This window comes from Homo sapiens, chromosome 9 (genome assembly GCF_000001405.40).
Source record: "Homo sapiens chromosome 9, GRCh38.p14 Primary Assembly".
Classification (NCBI taxonomy): Eukaryota; Metazoa; Chordata; class Mammalia; order Primates; family Hominidae; genus Homo; species Homo sapiens.
The window spans coordinates 116,687,299-116,705,069 of NC_000009.12; the positions used below are offsets into that span (position 1 = coordinate 116,687,299).

General features: G+C 42.4%; 2 protein-coding genes across 8 annotated transcripts in view, besides 2 other annotated features; one reads left to right on the forward strand and one right to left on the reverse strand.

Moving 5' to 3' along the window:
- ASTN2 (astrotactin 2) overlaps nucleotides 1–17,771 on the reverse strand; it is a 991,946-nt gene that overhangs the window by 264,187 nt on the left and 709,988 nt on the right. The gene's annotated exons all lie outside the window — the stretch shown is intronic.
- On the forward strand, nucleotides 7–14,001 carry TRIM32 (tripartite motif containing 32). 5 transcript variants are annotated; one of them, NM_001379048.1, is made up of 3 exons: nucleotides 7–83; nucleotides 10,075–10,135; nucleotides 10,364–14,001. In NM_001379048.1, the coding sequence occupies exon 3, from the start codon at nucleotides 10,445–10,447 to the stop codon at nucleotides 12,404–12,406; it is 1,962 nt and encodes a 653-aa protein (NP_001365977.1). In that variant the 5' UTR covers nucleotides 7–83; nucleotides 10,075–10,135; nucleotides 10,364–10,444; the 3' UTR covers nucleotides 12,407–14,001. The 5 variants fall into 5 exon arrangements, with proteins under 5 accessions (NP_001365977.1, NP_036342.2, NP_001093149.1 ...); NM_012210.4 differs by lacking the exon at nucleotides 10,075–10,135; NM_001099679.2 differs by lacking the exon at nucleotides 10,075–10,135 and having other exon boundaries at nucleotides 10,367–14,001.
- Nucleotides 64–263: a silencer, noted in NCBI's record as "silent region_20221". NCBI's record gives its function as "represses an Ori minimal core promoter by ATAC-STARR-seq in GM12878 lymphoblastoid cells {active_cell/tissue: GM12878}" and the evidence as "EXISTENCE:reporter gene assay evidence [ECO:0000049][PMID:35858748]".
- Nucleotides 434–483: an enhancer, noted in NCBI's record as "active region_28885". NCBI's record gives its function as "activates an Ori minimal core promoter by ATAC-STARR-seq in GM12878 lymphoblastoid cells {active_cell/tissue: GM12878}" and the evidence as "EXISTENCE:reporter gene assay evidence [ECO:0000049][PMID:35858748]".

A 17,771-nucleotide genomic window follows, 5' to 3' on the forward strand; every position in this document is an offset into this window, starting at 1 on the left:
AGGGGTGCTCAACGGCGCGTGCGCAGAGGGAGGCAGGCGGGTGGGCTGCCGGCGGTGGACTCGTCGGAGCCGCGGGCGGTCAGGTAGGGGGCGGGAAGGAGGGTTGGGGACTGGGGACCGCGGCCGGAGTCGTGGGCCGTGGCTCAGCGGCCAGGCGGGGGAACGTGCCGGCGTGCAGCGGCCGCGCCCGAATGGCAGGGTGTGGGGACCGGATCTGGGGGGGGCAGGACTAGGGTGGGGGTGGGGCTGCGAGGGGCAGGCTCGGGAGGGATTCGTGGGGCTGAGGAGATCCGAGGAGATGCAGCTGGGGGAGGGGAGCGAGGGGCTCTGAAGAGATTTGCGGTTGCAGCATCTCGGGAGGTATGAGGTAATGTCGGGGCCCTGAGGAGGAACGGGGTGTAGCATGTGGGAGATGGGAGGGAATCAGGGCCCTGGAGGGACCTGGGTGCAGAATTTCAGAAATATGAAGGAACTGGGGGGCCCCGATGAGATTTGAGGAAATCTGGGGGCGCTAGGCATCTGGCAAGGACAGGGTCTGAGATGATAGGAGCAAGGTCTAGGGCGATCCTAAGTGCTATTGAGAAAGGGTTTTCGGAGTGGGCTGAGGGTGAGATTGAGGGGGTGGGGTGAGTTCTTGAGGGACTCTATCTTGTTAGCAGAAAGAAGGGAGCTGGCTGAGGTGTGAAGGCAGCACATGACATTCAGTGCATAAGAGGAAGGAGCAGGGTATGAGGGCAGCACAGTGCCCGATGGAATGCAGGAGATGGGGGCTCAGATTGAGGGAGAGCAGAAATCTGGGGTGAGGAATTGGGGCGTTGAACTGAGGTGCGGGGCTGAGTGTGGCAGAGATTTGGAAATAGGGATTAAACGATCTGAGTCCGAGGGATTTGGGGCATATGAGTGAGGAATTGACGAGGGTTGCAATATACAGCCCCAAAGATTGGAATTTGGAATTGTAAGAGGGTTGGGGACAGGGTTTGGAGAGGATTGAATCGTGGGGTGGAGATGTCCTAACTGGGCTATAAAATCAAAGGACCCTGAGTAGATTTGTGGATTGGTGTCTTGGGCTGCTAAAGAGATTTTCCTTAAATCGCTGCATGGGAGACAGAGGGAGTTCAGGGGACCCAAGGACCTAAAAGTAATGTATGAAACTGGATGAGTATATGAAGATGAGCAGAGTTCAGGTGCTGAGGAACAAAGTGATAAATCTTCAGTTCAGATAATCCTGAAGGAGTGTGGTAATCCCTGTGAAGGGCAGAATCTTCTTCATTTATTAAACAAAGATCCGTTATCATGAGGCAGGTATGGTATTGCCACTAACTCCATTCTGACCACCGGTCCCCCGGCCCACTGAAAGTGGTAGGCTTTGGGGAAGAAGAAGTGGAACTATTCAAGGTCATCTGCCTAAGCCCTTTTTCCCTGTACCCCCAAGCTACGATAGCAGATAGAAAGTGAGACCTCCAGGGGAATGAGTGGAATAATTTATCCTATATAAGATCCATTACAGCTTGAAGGGGCAGTGGCTCTGTGAGTGAGGTGTTTGGGCTCGGAGACAGACAAAACAACAACAACAACCACCAGAAAAAAAAAAGGGAACCCTTAGGTATTGAGCATTTAGTCCTGTGCTAGACTGTAAAGCAGTGGTTCTTAACCAAGTCTGGCTTTGTCTCCTAGGAGACATTAGGCAATGTCTGGAGATGTTTTTTGGTTGTCACAGGGTGGGGGATACTACTGGCCTCAAGTGGGTAGATTAAACATTAAACATAATGTTTTATGTTAAACATTTGACAATGTGTGGGATACGCCCTTCCCCCCCGCAGTAAGGAATTATCCTGCCTAAAATGTCAGTAATGCCAAAGTTGAGGCACTCTGACCTAGAGTCAGATACCCTGGGTTCAAGTCCTAGCTCTATCTCTTCCTGACTTTAAGTCCTAGCTCTATCTCTTCCTGACTTTGTGGCCTTGAATGAGTTACTTAACCACCCAGTGCCTTGGCTCTTCATCTGTAAAATGGGGTTATGATAACAAGACCAATGTCACAGAATTGTTGTGAGGATTTAGTGAAGTAAACTAGCATGCCTAGGATCTGGCACATAGTAAGTTCTCAAAATCTAGTAATTTTTAGTCTTGTATCTACTTCTTTACTCAGTTTTCATGACAGTCCTTCTAAGTAGGCTCTACTGTATTCAGTTTTACACATGAGGAAACTAAGGCTTAGGAAGTGACTTGCCTAAGTTTCCATAGCTAGGAATGACACAGTTAAGCTCATACCCAGATCTCTGTAACTCCGTATATTCCCGCTTTCCTTGCTTCTTCCTTGCTAGGGCCTGCTTAGTCTTATTTTCTCAGCCCATTCCCCTCTAATGAAAAAGAGGATTGCCAGTGAGTATCACTGACTATCAGATTGAACTCTAAAGTTGGGGGGTAAATCTCTCTGATTAGGTAGGGAGGAGCCCTGGACTTTGTTCTTGGTTTGCCCTTAGACCAAGACCTGGGGCTAGATAAGGAGAGGAGCCTGAGGTTATCAGGCAGGATGAGGTGCAACGGACTATAGGGTGAGGTATGGAGGCCATTGGCTTGAAAAAACACCTCATAGCAGGGACTGAGGCTGAAGGCAGTCATACTCTGAAGGAGAGTAACTACTGTTCTGTATGGTCTCTTTTGGTCTGCTTTTCCCTGGAACAGAATTTGGCTCTATCATTTCCAGGACTAGCTACAGGGTTGCTGAAGCCAGTTCAGAAACAAAGCTAGACTGTGTCTGACAGCAAGACTTAGCTGGAATATCTGTGCACATCCCTAAAAGAAAATATGTCATGGGAATTAAATCAGCCCTGTCTAAACTCCTTACTCTAATTTCCTATGTTACCTTGTCAGTAGCTACGGCACTTGTCCTGTCAGCCTCAATCTATTAAAAATGCAAATGATTATAATTTGTTGAGTGCTTATTATGTGCATTATCTTAGTGAATTCAATCCTGCTAACAGTCTAGGTTTTATTCCTTGTTTACAGATAAGAAAAATAACAGGTTAAATGACTTACCCAGGGCTACAGAGCAAGTAGCTAGGTTGGGATACAAACCCAGTTCTGTCTTACACCTATGTTACATTATAGTAGTTTTATTAGAAGCCTTTTCCAACCCTTCAGAGCCCCTATGTTTATGTCTGGAGAATAGTTGGAAGCCAGAAGTTTATAAGGCCCTTAAAGTAGATCATTGTCTATGCACACTGATGTGTAACCTTTGTGACATTCCCTCCATCTTGTCTTTCTGGTAAAACAATCAAATTTAAAAATCATTTCTAGGTGCCCTTACCAACCTCTCAGCCAGACTTTGTCTAAAGCTAGGGAACTATGAAACATCCTTTAAGTTAGTAATTTTATGGCTGGGAGTTGATACTGGGATTTGAATCCTTGCTCTATTACTTATTGGTTTTGAGACCTTGGACAGGCTACTTTCTCTGAGCATTGGTTTCCTTATTTTTGAAGAGGAATCACACTTACTTTACATGGTTATTATGAGACTATGAGAACATATAAAAAAATGCCTGACAATAAATAGTAGTTGCTTTAAGAGTGTTAGCAATTATGAGAGGAAGGCAGTGCTGGAAGAGAACTAAGTGTTGCTTTGTCATATTTATTTATTTATACAGGGTCTTGCTGTGTCACCCAGGCTGGAGTGCAGTGGTGCAATCACAGTTCACTGCAGCCTCAACCTCCTAGGCTCAAGTGATCCTCCCATCTCAGCCTCCCAAGTAGCTGGGACCACAAGTGCATGCCACCACACCTGATTATCTTTTAAATTTATTGTAGAGATGGTGTTTCACTCTGTTGCTCAGGCTCTTTGCCAGATTTTGATAACCCTAAGTAGTCTCTGCTAGTCTCCCCAAAATTCTCATCCCATTTTGTATATTTCCTAGGATCTCCTTGATCCTTTAATCATAATCTCATGATTAAATGAACAGATGTTATATGCAGAGAAAGGAATTGAAAGAGAGAGAGGGTTGAGGTTAGTTGGAGGTCCCTGAGAAGGGGCTATTGATTTTTCCTTTGTCTTATATTCCTTGAGTCATACTGGCAGCGTAGGTACTACTCAAATGTTTGTGAAAGATGCAAGGGAGTCTTTCTAGGTCCTGCAGTTTTAGAGGAAGACAGAGACAACAGGCAAGCATGTTTTCCAGGAAACCCTATTATTCATTTAGCCTGCCCTTGACATAGTTTAGCTATGTTTAACTTAGTAATTTAGCTAAAGTTTTCTTTCTCTACAAACATACTTCCTTCTGGATCGTTTTGTTTGCCCCAGACTGGTACAACTTCAGGAGCATGCCTGTGTTTCCCTATAAGCCCCTACTTGTTGAGTTTATCTTAGTTGTCTGCAGGTGCCTTAAATGCCCTGAGTAATCTAAACTTCATCAGAATCCTCTCCCACACACAGGAGTGGATGTCAGGTGATGACCTCACTGAATTCGTTAAAGTCAGTCCTGCTAACGAGTGGCCTTTGGTGGCACAGTGATAGTTTTGCACTTGATTAGCATTCTGTTAGAATGCATGAGGAATAAAGTTTAGAAAGCTGACATAAAAGGAAATGAGATAAACCTTGCAAAAAACCCAGTCAAACCAGGGGAGCGTGTCAATAGTAGGATGGACCTTTATGTCTTGTGAAAGGAAATGCAATATTTTACATGTTGTCTAGTTTTTAGGGGAAAGCACTGTTTATGTCTGGTTTTTGCTCAAAATTGTATCACCAGTACCGTTCACAGGGCCAGACACATAGTAGGTGCTTAGTAAAGATTTGTTTTGTTAATTGCTTAAAGTTCTCCAGTTTTGCTCATGGCCTAAGCCACCAAAGGCTGATATAGGTAAAGGAAATGGAGATATCTAGAGAACCACCCCATGGTGGCAATTCAAGCATTAGGTGAAGATTTGAAACCTTAGATCATCTCTAATCTTTAGATTCTGGGATCAGGTAAAACAATTTCTAGGAGGGCTTAGAATTTTTATTATTTAGGTTTATGTATCTGGGGCCTTGGGTACAGTCTGCTGAAAAGTGCCTATTCATTTCTTCTAATAGGTTGGGTGGTGGCAGCAGCAGTTGCTGCTACTGCTAATAATAATAAAAACTATTATTTATGTATAGTTAATTGCATGCCTGGCTTGGTACTGTACTTAGTGCTTTACACACATAATCTCATTTAATCTTTGCAATAACTTTGTGAGGAAGATACTATTTTAAAGTCCCTTTCCATAGATAAACTGAGAACTACAGAAGTATTAATAACTTGCTCACGTCTCCACAATAAGTAGTAGAGCTTGAATTCAAATCCAGGAAAGCCTGATCCCTCAGGCCTGCTTCCTTAATCTATATAATACTGTCCACTCCTAGTTCGTGTCTTTTAGTCCTAGTTCTGTTGTGTGATTTGTGGTCTTAATTTCCCTCTCCTGGTCTTAGTTTTCTCATCTATTTTACAACTTGAGATTACTACCTTTTCTTCCCCTTTTGCCCAGGCTGAAGTACAGTAGCATCATCACAGCTCACTGCAACCTCCACTTCCTGGTCTCAAGTAAGGAGATTGCTACGAATTCTAGCATTTCATACTTAGTCTCTGCTTGAAGGAGCTACAGCAGCTCATTTTCTGGGCAAGACAAGTTGTAAATTCATTTACCCATCAGTTTTTAGCCTGTATGTCTGGCATTCTCAATCAAAACTCTTCAAAACTGACCAGCCCTTTTATTAATCTTTATATGCCTTTATATGCCATGAAAGGAAAGGTTGTTCATGCTTTCAAAATGTAGTTTGTAAACTGAATGCGTTATTAATACTAGTACTAGTTATTGTTAATGCTGTTTCTGGTTATTATTTATTTAGCATCCTTTTATTGTACACCTAAGGGTATCAGGCTAAGTACTTTATATGCATTTTCCATAGTCATTACAGTACTCTTTTTATAAACTAAGAAAACAGGTTTAGACAGGTTAAATAAATTGCCTGCTTCCCCACAACTTGTGACAGTGCTAAGATATGATCTCAGTCCTATATAACTTTAAGGTTCATTCTTTTGTTTTGTTTGCTTTTTCTACTACCTTGGTTACTCATTTCATGGAATGGGGAAAACCCAGTGGTGCTAGAAGAGGCGAGATTAATATGGAATATAATTATGTAATTTTTCTGAGTCTTAGGGCAGCCAGAGTAGACACAGCTTAAGGGACAGATTCTCATCGGGAGCTGAAGAGATGTGCTAGTACAGTATGGTATGGGATGTACAGTATTAATCATTAGGTCAAGGGATGTGGGAAGATGGTAGGCTGATGTTAGATGAGGTGGGAGGTCAAGAATTAATGGCACAAAGTGCACAACAGGAAACAGACATTCAAGGGATCATGAAGGGAGCCAAGATGATACATAGCATGTTGGATACTCATTCTGATTGGTTGTACAGTTGATAGCTGGCAGAAAATGGGCAGCTTACTTAAAGATTTGGAATGATAAGACAATTCCTTTTATTTGTGTAGTCTTTTGGGGAAACTGAAGTCAAATTGACCTTCTATCTGAGTCATTCTCAGTATTACAGTAATGACCAGATGTGCCCTTCTGGAGGAGACGGGCTCTATCTGCCTGTCTCTTAGCTCCATTTCAGGCTAAGATCCTTCACAAAGCAGTGTTTTCAAGTCATGGAAGTGGGAAAAGTGGTTCTGGCTTTTTCCAGGTTTGAGACTATTTCCGTGCCTCATGCTTTAGTGAGGGGAACACAGGTTTTCCTGGCAAAGCATGGCAGCTTTGGGGCAGGAATTCTTGACATCCTCAGAGAGCTTGGTGAAGCTGTAGTCAGCTGAGATAATTTGGGGATGTGGGCATAGTAAATTCATTTTTTTAAACCTGATGTCTTAGACAGAGAGGTAGGAAGCTTTTCAATTGAAGGAGGGATATGATATTCCAGAAAGCTTGGGAAATAATTTGCTGCTATTTTTACAAGTTGGCAGCCTTGTTTAATAAACTGATCTGCACTGCCAGCTCTGGGAAGAACACAGATGTCCCTGTGCATTGTAAGGTAACGTTCTAGATTCAAACTCCAAATGTCCTCAGTCTGTTGTCCCAGATGATAGAAGAGAGAACTGTAGCTATTGATTTAGAATTGAGAAGGGTTGCATGGATCCTGAGTTGTAATTTCTCTTTTTTTTTTTTTTTTTTTTGAGATGGAGTCTCGCTCTGTCACCCAGTCTGGAGTGCAGTGGCGCGTCTCGGCTCACTGCAAGCTCCGCCTCCCAGGTTCATGCCATTGTCCTGCCTCAGCCTCCCGAGTAGCTGGGACTACAGGCGCCTGCCACCACGCCCAGCTAATTTTTTTTTTTTTTTTTGTATTTTTAGTAGAGACGGAGTTTCACCGTCTTAGCCAGGATGGTCTCGATCTCCTGACCTCATGATTCGCCCACCTCAGCCTCCCAAAGTGCTGGGATTACAGGCATGAGCCACCACGCCTGGCCCTGAGTTGTAATTTCTATCAGTATGTCTATGCTATTGCCCCTAGACACTTGGCATTTAAGAATTTACCATTCATAGTTTCAGATATCCACATCAGACCTCATACGCTCATGATATATGGTAAATATTATTTTGCTGAGGTATGGATTTGAGTCATAATGGGTTGCAAGCTTGCTGTGTGAGAGTAGGTCACTCAGCTAATAAATCAATCTATCCCACTCTATAGCAGCAGAATCTCATAACTATATTAGTGTTCCTTCTGTGTTATGGAGAAAATGCGTATGCTATAAGGCAGCATTCCCCAGAGCGTGGTCAAGGGAACATTAGTTAATCATTGTTATGTGACAGTAAAAAATAGCTTGAAATAATGTTGGGTTAAATAAAGTAAAAATATCTGTACTTCAAGGTTCCACTATGTTTGAGCTGTGTGACCTTGAGCAAGTTTTTCTGAGCATTCGTTTCCTCATCTGTAAAATAGGATAATAAAAATATTACCACTTCATAGTGTCATCATGAAGATTAAAAGAGATTAAGCATATAAAGTATCTGTCATAGTAACTAGCATATAATAGGCACTAGATGCATAGTTTCCCTTGCAGTACAAAGGAAGTGGGATATCAGGGAGGAAGGATTAACTTTAGATAATTGTGCATGTCTGCTGCTATATATTTGTCAGATTGCATTCCAAAGCTAATATGGTAGAAATTTGTTGTAATGTATATCTCTACATTAACTCCCCTTCTTCTCTATGCCTGGAGAAAGAGTTGATGTCATGTGCAAAGTGTTCTTGAGCTAAATGCATTGTCCTTAAAATCAAACGAACTTGCCCTCCACTTCCTCCTTCTCCTGGGTGGTTGACCATCTGCAGATCACAAGACTGCACAGATACAGCTGTAGGATTTGCGTTTATGAAATGCTGACTTTATCATATGCCTCAACTTGCTAGACCTATTCATTCTGATTTGGGGTATACGTTGACAGTGACCTAAGGCTACAGAGCACTGAGATCTCTCTGGGTCAACTTCATAAGTATATGTATATCAAGAGGGTTGGAGTGTTCATGGTTTGTATTGGGTGACGCAGAGGGTACTCTAAGCCAGAAATAAACTGTCTTGATAAGGCACTGCTATTTTTTAAATCATCTAGGCTTGAGTCTTTGGCTATCTCTGCTCTTCACCACTCCCCCACCATAATCCACTCACCTTTCAAATCTTACTGACTATACTTCTGGATATTGCTCAAATGAATCTTTCCATTTCCACCACCTGCTCCCTAGTTCAGACTCCCCATTATCCCCGTCTTCTCTGATGTTTCCCCACTCCATTCCTGCTTTGATCATATCATCTTCCTGCTTCAAAACATTCATCACCTCACCATGCCCTTGAAAATGACGCTCAAAAATCTCATTTTGGCTCTGAAGACCTTTTATAATTATTCCCCCAATTTACCTTTCCAAGTCTGTTACTCTATTCCCCATATATACTCCCACAGTTTTAATCTAAGGATAATAAAAAAGAGAACTAAAATTCATTAAAGGCTTTTTTGGTGCAGAGCCAAATCTTAGCATTCTATACACTCTATATATTATTTCATTCTTACATTAACTCTGTAAAGACAGTATTTTTCCATTTTAAAGGTGGAGAAAATAAAATGCATAGAGTTTAAGTATTCTCTGTTTTCTTTCTAATACATGAAACTTCTTGTCCTTTCCTTTGCCTTTTATACTTTGTTAAGGTTGTGCCTTTTGCCCACTTCTTTCTTCCCTCTCCATGTATTTATGCATCTTTCCAGGCCAATATAAAATGTCATCTTCCCTTTGAAAATTCTGTATCCCTTCAGATTGGAATGACTCCTCAACCCCCATCAAACTTAGTTTTTATTTCGTTTATAGTACCACTTTCTGCCTTCATTATTATTTACCTACATGTCTTGTCTTTTATAAAGTTTGAATATCTGAAGAGCAGGATCTGTATCCTAAAGACCTCTTGTATCTAGTACAGAACAAGATACCTAAACTTAGATGGGTGGATAGGTGAGTAAGTAGGAGGATAGATGCGTGGAAAATGTGTATTTTCTGATCTGATGTTTTGCAGATCACCTAAAACTAATCATCACAATTTTCTGCTTCTGTGGATGATTCCTAGGCCCCCAAACATGACACAATAAACTCTGTGACATGATTAAAAAAAAAAAAAAAAGCCTCCACACTTTTGCTTACATGGTTTTCTTTGCTTAAAGTACCTTTATCCTCATTCCTTCATTTCTTTCAAGACATATCTTAGGAGTGAAACTGCTTTTGGGAAGCCTTCCCCAAGTCTGTTAGGTAGAATCCATCATTCCATCCACTGTACTCCAGCAGAACATTATGTGGACTTGCATGTTATACTTATTCCTTTTACTGTGCATAATTCTCCTGTGCTTTTCTCTTAGTGTAAATCAGAAGTTGTAAAATTCACCAAATATGAAAATAATCATTAGCTCATTAGCATTTATTACAAGTATACTACTTCCCTGGTGCTATACTAAGCACATCATATTTATCTTGTTACTTAGCCCTTATAATAACCATATAAGGCAGACACCATTATTACTTCTATTTTACAGATGAGTGATGGGGAAAGAGCTTTTGGAAGTTTGAGTTAATTCCTTATGGTCATGCAGCTAAGTAAGTGTCTGAGACTACAGAATCTGAATTATTTCCCACTATGCAGTGTTTTGTCTGGTTTGTTTCCCTATCTGTCACCCTCACGTGACATATAATAGACCTCAATAAAATAGTTGTTAAGTAAGGGAATGACTGAATGACTGGTCATAGCTATTCTCTAAATGTTTCTTGAGTGAATTTATTTATATAGTCAGAGGAAAATGAATAATGGTTTCTTTTTCTCTTTAGCAGGAATTTGACCCTCTAGGGCATGAATACTGTGCTGTTCAGTTCTGAGCTGTGCTAGCAATACCCTTCAAAGGAAGAGCAATGGCTGCAGCAGCAGCTTCTCACCTGAACCTGGATGCCCTCCGGGAAGTGCTAGAATGCCCCATCTGCATGGAGTCCTTCACAGAAGAGCAGCTGCGTCCCAAGCTTCTGCACTGTGGCCATACCATCTGCCGCCAGTGCCTGGAGAAGCTATTGGCCAGTAGCATCAATGGTGTCCGCTGTCCCTTTTGCAGCAAGATTACCCGCATAACCAGCTTGACCCAGCTGACAGACAATCTGACAGTGCTAAAGATCATTGATACAGCTGGGCTCAGCGAGGCTGTGGGGCTGCTCATGTGTCGGTCCTGTGGGCGGCGTCTGCCCCGGCAATTCTGCCGGAGCTGTGGTTTGGTGTTATGTGAGCCCTGCCGGGAGGCAGACCATCAGCCTCCTGGCCACTGTACACTCCCTGTCAAAGAAGCAGCTGAGGAGCGGCGTCGGGACTTTGGAGAGAAGTTAACTCGTCTGCGGGAACTTATGGGGGAGCTGCAGCGGCGGAAGGCAGCCTTGGAAGGTGTCTCCAAGGACCTTCAGGCAAGGTATAAAGCAGTTCTCCAGGAGTATGGGCATGAGGAGCGCAGGGTCCAGGATGAGCTGGCTCGCTCTCGGAAGTTCTTCACAGGCTCTTTGGCTGAAGTTGAGAAGTCCAATAGTCAAGTGGTAGAGGAGCAGAGTTACCTGCTTAACATTGCAGAGGTGCAGGCTGTGTCTCGCTGTGACTACTTCCTGGCCAAGATCAAGCAGGCAGATGTAGCACTACTGGAGGAGACAGCTGATGAGGAGGAGCCAGAGCTCACTGCCAGCTTGCCTCGGGAGCTCACCCTGCAAGATGTGGAGCTCCTTAAGGTAGGTCATGTTGGCCCCCTCCAAATTGGACAAGCTGTTAAGAAGCCCCGGACAGTTAACGTGGAAGATTCCTGGGCCATGGAGGCCACAGCGTCTGCTGCCTCTACCTCTGTTACTTTTAGAGAGATGGACATGAGCCCGGAGGAAGTGGTTGCCAGCCCTAGGGCCTCACCTGCTAAACAGCGGGGTCCTGAGGCAGCCTCCAATATCCAGCAGTGCCTCTTTCTCAAGAAGATGGGGGCCAAAGGCAGCACTCCAGGAATGTTCAATCTTCCAGTCAGTCTCTACGTGACCAGTCAAGGTGAAGTACTAGTCGCTGACCGTGGTAACTATCGTATACAAGTCTTTACCCGCAAAGGCTTTTTGAAGGAAATCCGCCGCAGCCCCAGTGGCATTGATAGCTTTGTGCTAAGCTTCCTTGGGGCAGATCTACCCAACCTCACTCCTCTCTCAGTGGCAATGAACTGCCAGGGGCTGATTGGTGTGACTGACAGCTATGATAACTCCCTCAAGGTATATACCTTGGATGGCCACTGCGTGGCCTGTCACAGGAGCCAGCTGAGCAAACCATGGGGTATCACAGCCTTGCCATCTGGCCAGTTTGTAGTAACCGATGTGGAAGGTGGAAAGCTTTGGTGTTTCACAGTTGATCGAGGATCAGGGGTGGTCAAATACAGCTGCCTATGTAGTGCTGTGCGGCCCAAATTTGTCACCTGTGATGCTGAGGGCACCGTCTACTTCACCCAGGGCTTAGGCCTCAATCTGGAGAATCGGCAGAATGAGCACCACCTGGAGGGTGGCTTTTCCATTGGCTCTGTAGGCCCTGATGGGCAGCTGGGTCGCCAGATTAGCCACTTCTTCTCGGAGAATGAGGATTTCCGCTGCATTGCTGGCATGTGTGTGGATGCTCGTGGTGATCTCATCGTGGCTGACAGTAGTCGCAAGGAAATTCTCCATTTTCCTAAGGGTGGGGGCTATAGTGTCCTTATTCGAGAGGGACTTACCTGTCCGGTGGGCATAGCCCTAACTCCTAAGGGGCAGCTGCTGGTCTTGGACTGTTGGGATCATTGCATCAAGATCTACAGCTACCATCTGAGAAGATATTCCACCCCATAGGGGATGAGAAATTATCAGTTTCTTCTGCTCCCAAGCCAACTTCCCTTCCCTTAGTTCTTGGTTGTTAGTGGCACATGCAGAATAGACTCAGCCTATGTCCTGATTCCAGCTGGGTAGTTCTAGAACTTCAGAAGCTCCATCTTTTAATGTTTTTATTTGTTATGTCCCCCTCCCCGCTTCCCACCTAAATTTAGAGCTTTAAAAGATGCACTGCCCAAATAGGACACACGATGGTGTTAGCTGAAGTTTGATTAGCAATTAGGCACTTCCAAGGCTTTAGTAGAGAGAGCCACTTTAGCCCTTTGTGCCATGTTTGAAATTTGCCCTTGTATTAAATCCTTGATTTTTTCCCATTTGGCTTTGATGCCCTTGATCCATTGTTTCCTTCCTACTATAATGTGCTTCATCTGTGACACTTTCTCTTGAACTCTGATTGGATTCACTGTGCATGCTTCAGTGGGATCTGCTCCACCTTTCAGTGACATTTAAGACATCATATTCCCGTAACATTATGTCTCAGTCTGATCGTCTTTACCAGTATGAAAGTCATTCATTTAGTGCTACCAAAGGGGATACACAAGCCCTTTAGGAAGCAGTACCTCTCGCCTGGAGGATCTGTGCCATCTTGGATTGAGAATTGCAGATGTGACAGAATGGATTGACCCTAGTTGGTTGGTATTGATGACTTCAGCCTGGAAATTGCTTGCCTTTTAAAGAAGCATATATGGGTTGGAATTATGCCAAAGCATAGGAAGCTGGGAATAAGCAAACAAATGCTGATATAGTCAGCAAATTTGGATAGTCTCTAGGGCTCATCATTTTTCATACTACCTCTCTCTTCTGGCCTGTGTCTAAGGAATTGTACAACATAGGCCAGGGCCAACAAAGTGGAGAGGTGGACACATTTTCATGTTCATTACTAAAACAAACAGCAAAACTATTGGTTTGTTATTCTGTGTTTTCCTCAAGTCAGTACATACTATTTGGTTTCAGGATTTCTTTCCATTTCTCTATCAAGCATTAAATAATTGAGAACTGTTTCTTCATCTCTGGTGTTCATGTCTTTTAATTAAATACGGAATTTTGGAGATGATAAGAGGGATAACCTGCGCTATGCCATTTTGCTTCCTTATCTCACTGTGTTCTTTCAGAGTGTAGATATCTACCCAGGTCAAAATTCAGCCAAAAGCACTATTATGTAAAGATAATAATCCAAATCTTTCTCCCAAATACATGTGTACAGAATCATCCCCCAAGGTTTAGAGTCACCAATACCCTATTCTGAGCTTCTGCTGTATGTTTTATGTTTATAATTACAGTTCACAAAAAGGAAGTTAGTCTTGTTTTTAAGATCAGAAGTGGGTGAGAGGACCTGTGATGAGGTTCCTGAGGGTTTGGTGTTTACTAAGTAATATATCTTACTCTAGGTGCAGGGCTGATGGCAAGCCAAAGAGCAACTGCCTTACTTTGATGTAAACAAAATTTGCTAAACTGAGCTGCTCAAAATTGTTTTTATGGTAGTAGTGTTTCTTTGGATTGTATCATAATAGCTGCCAAAGGATAGGTAAAGAGGTCATTAAAATGATGTTGAACTAGTTTGTCTTGTTCTTTTCATCTGGAGAAAGCCCCATATTCTGATTATGAAATTGCATCCGATTTTCAAAGATTGGGTAATTGAGAGGAAATTGATCCAATTGAAAGTGCATCACAAATGACTCCACTAGTTATTAGAGCCACTTTATCTGTGGGGGCACCCAGCAGCAGGAGATCTGTCTTTGCTGTCAGTGGGGGACTTGCTGAGGCAATAACAGTGGCTCAGGCCTTTGGCACACAGTTTGCAGTGGAGAGAGAAATATAATATTGTGGGCAGGCTGAAGGTAAATGAGGCCAGGAATCCTCCAGCTGTCTGTGCTTTTGAAAGAGGTGCCATCACTGAGTGACATTCAGCATTTAGATCTCTACCCATCTAAACCAGTCATGCCTTTTCCCTCAAGTAAAGCAGTTATCTGTTGGCTCAAAATGGAAGTGTGATCTGAGTCTTTTTCCTTTTTCCCCTTTGATGTGAATATTTTAGGCTGTGCTTAGTACAGTCGATGTTTAATTATCTGCTGTGTTGACTAAATTGCAGACTAGGGCCCCAAGAAACTAATTTGTTCAATTACAGCAGTTTTTTGGGTTTTTTTTTTTTTTTTGCTTTGTTTTTTAAAGCAGCAGTACCCTTGTCCAAATAAAGTCTTATATGGAAGTCTATCATGTAAAATAGATCAAAGAGCAGCTGCTCTGGTTGAAGCAGGTTTGTGCCGCTGAAGAATATGCTGTTTCCTCCCTTTACCTTACCTCCTGTGCTACCATTGCAAAACTTGTGAATCTACAGAATACTTTTCTGAAAACCACTGAACTACAGCATTGCTTACCTTATAGTTCTGTCTTATTAGTCATGTGGCCTTGGGCAAGTCATTTAACTCTTCCTCTTCTGGAAAATAACAAAAATGATCCCTGCCTCCTAGAAGGGTATGAGATAACATGTGAAAATAACCTGGTTTCATTCCTGGAATATTCCATAAATGATGGCTGTTACTCTTTTATCTAGTTGCTCAAAAGAGCACCTGATGGTGGGAAGTGGTCCAACCATGCTAAACAGTTCCTTTCTTCTTGCTTAACAGGTTTCTATTTGGTGATTAAAACCTTTCTCAGGCATTTCTTTCCCCTCACAAGTCTCCAAATATATCAAGTTCATCTCTTCCTTTCTACTGTCTATTTCACATTCCTATTATATAAATCACTGTGTTGCAATTATCTGTCCATATATTTGAGCTTTATTGAGGGCTAACTAATCTAGCTACCAGCATGTAACATGGTGCCTAGTATAGAATATGTTATCAGTTATTTAATTGGTTCAGGTATTTACCTGACTTAATGGGACTCCAGTAACCCGAGTCTTCCTAGTGTAGCCCCCTTAGATTAGATAAAAAAGGATACTCAGACAAGCCCTTTTATAAGGTGTTTAAAAGCTAGTGGCAAACAATTGACTTAGAGGTTGGTTAAGCCCCTCCTCCCTTTATCATTCTGAGTGGTTACATAGAATTTAAGATTTTGGAGCAATGATTCATTCAATATTTATTAACTACCTACTGTGGGCCAGTGTACACTCCGGACTTGAGTCTGTAGAGGGGCACTCTTATTCCAATCAGTAGAATAAACGTGGCGTGAGCTTTACAGTGTTCCTCTGGGTAAGGCAAGTAATGCTTAAGTAGTTGTACTTTTAATCTAGTGCTAATTAATGGCCTCTTAAAAGTGCAGTGTTGGGTCAAATGGTATTTCTAGTTCTAGATCCCTGAGGAATCGCCACACTGACTTCCACAATGGTTGAACTAGTTTACAGTCCCACCAACAGTGTAAAAGTGTTCCTATTTCTCCACATCCTCTCCAGCACCTGTTGTTTCCTGACTTTTTAATGATTGCCATTCTAACTGGTGTGAGATGGTATCTCATAGTGGTTTTGATTCGCATTTCTCTGATGGCCAGTGATGATGAGCATTTTTTCATGTATTTTTTGGCTGCATAAATGTCTTCTTTTGAGAAGTGTCTGTTCATGTCCTTCGCCCACTTTTTGATGGGGTTGTTTGTTTTTTTCTTGTAAATTTGTTTGAGTTCATTGCAGATTCTGGATATTAGCCCTTTGTCAGATGAGTAGGTTGCGAAAATTTTCTCCCATGTTGTAGGGACATGGATGAAATTGGAAACCATCATTCTCAGTAAACTATCGCAAGAACAAAAAACCAAACACCGCATATTCTCACTCATAGGTGGGAATTGAACAATGAGATCACATGGTCACAGGAAGGGGAATATCACACTCTGGGGACTGTGGTGGGGTGGGGGGAGTGGGGAGGGGTAGCATTGGGAGATATACCTAATGCTAGATGACGAGTTAGTGGGTGCAGCGCACCAGCATGGCACATGTATACGTATGTAACTAACCTGCACAATGTGCACATGTACCCTAAAACTTAAAGTATAATAATAAAAAAAAAAAAAGTGCAGTGTTACTCTACTCTGTAGGAGGGAAGTGGAAGGGAGAACCTAGTATGAGACTCAGGTCTCCACCCTGCACTTGACTAGGATGCTGATTTGCACTCAGGACATGCAGCCCTTCAAGGCATCTCAAATTACAGACATGAAACAACAGATGCCTGGATGAATTTTACAAGCAGGGCAACAGTGAGGAAGAAGGCTGTGTAGCAAAATATACACTTAGACTCCAGACCTATGGCTTTATCTTGTCAATATCATTAATATTCACGGGACCCAAGCTAAGGCTGAAGTTAGTGAGCCAGCTCTGGGTCTGGCAATGTACTCTAGTGAGAAGATCACCGGCCTTGAAGTCAGGCTTGTGTCTGAATCACAGCTCTGCATTTTAACTAGCTGTGTGACCTCAGGTGATCACCATACCTCTGAGCCTCAATTTCCCTATCTGTTAATTTAAATAAGGGTGTTGGTATGTCACCAAAATCCCTTCTAGCTCTAAGATTTTAATTAATTTGTTAACCAATGGAATTGTTGAGTTCCCCCCAATGTTTTTGCATAATCTTTGTTATAACTGTGTTTTGTTTACATTAGAATAGTAGAACAACAACATCAACAAAAAACCCAAATCATCCCCAACTTGATATAATTGCTTCTCTACCCCAGCTGTTGTGACTTTGTGTCACTTAGCTGTTGTCACCCTGCTGAGCTAGAGTTTTCCTTGGTAAAAGAAAATGAATGACAGTTTATGTTTTAAAGGGCTGTTGTGAGAATTAAAATATATAAATGGGATAGTATATGTAAAAGTACCTAATTCAGAAAATGTGTGACTTCCATTATAGGGGGCAAAAGCATCCTTCCCTTCATGGTGAGTTGTTGATACACATTCAAGTGAAAGCCAGTGGAGATTTTCAGACCTGTATTGGTGATGCAATAGCATGTTCAGCACTTCTTGGCCTCTTAATTGAAAAGCCTATTGGAGGAAGAGTGGGATTGCTGGAGGGGCAGAAGCAATACTCATTCACAGCAATGTATCCCATTAGGAAAGCTGTAAATAAATCCTAAAGTCTAATCATTTGATTAAAGTAATTAAGATGGCATCTTGACTCTTTTGAGGGGTAAATAGAGCCAAGATTTTTTTAAAGATTTTATATATATATGCACTAATATGTAGTACATACATCTAAGTATATACACACACGCACAGGTAGAGATGAAATTTTTTTTAAAACCTTAGAAACATGCATGTTTAGCTATTTCTTTAGATGGCTAGCTTCAAAGAATTTTTTCTCTAGGTCAAAATTTATTAACTCAAATAATTATAAAAATAAAAGTAAGC

Coding starts and splice junctions, on each gene's coding strand:
- TRIM32 (NM_001379048.1), top strand. CDS start 10,445: ATGGCTGCAGCAGCAGCTTCTCACCTGAACCTGGATGCCCTCCGGGAA.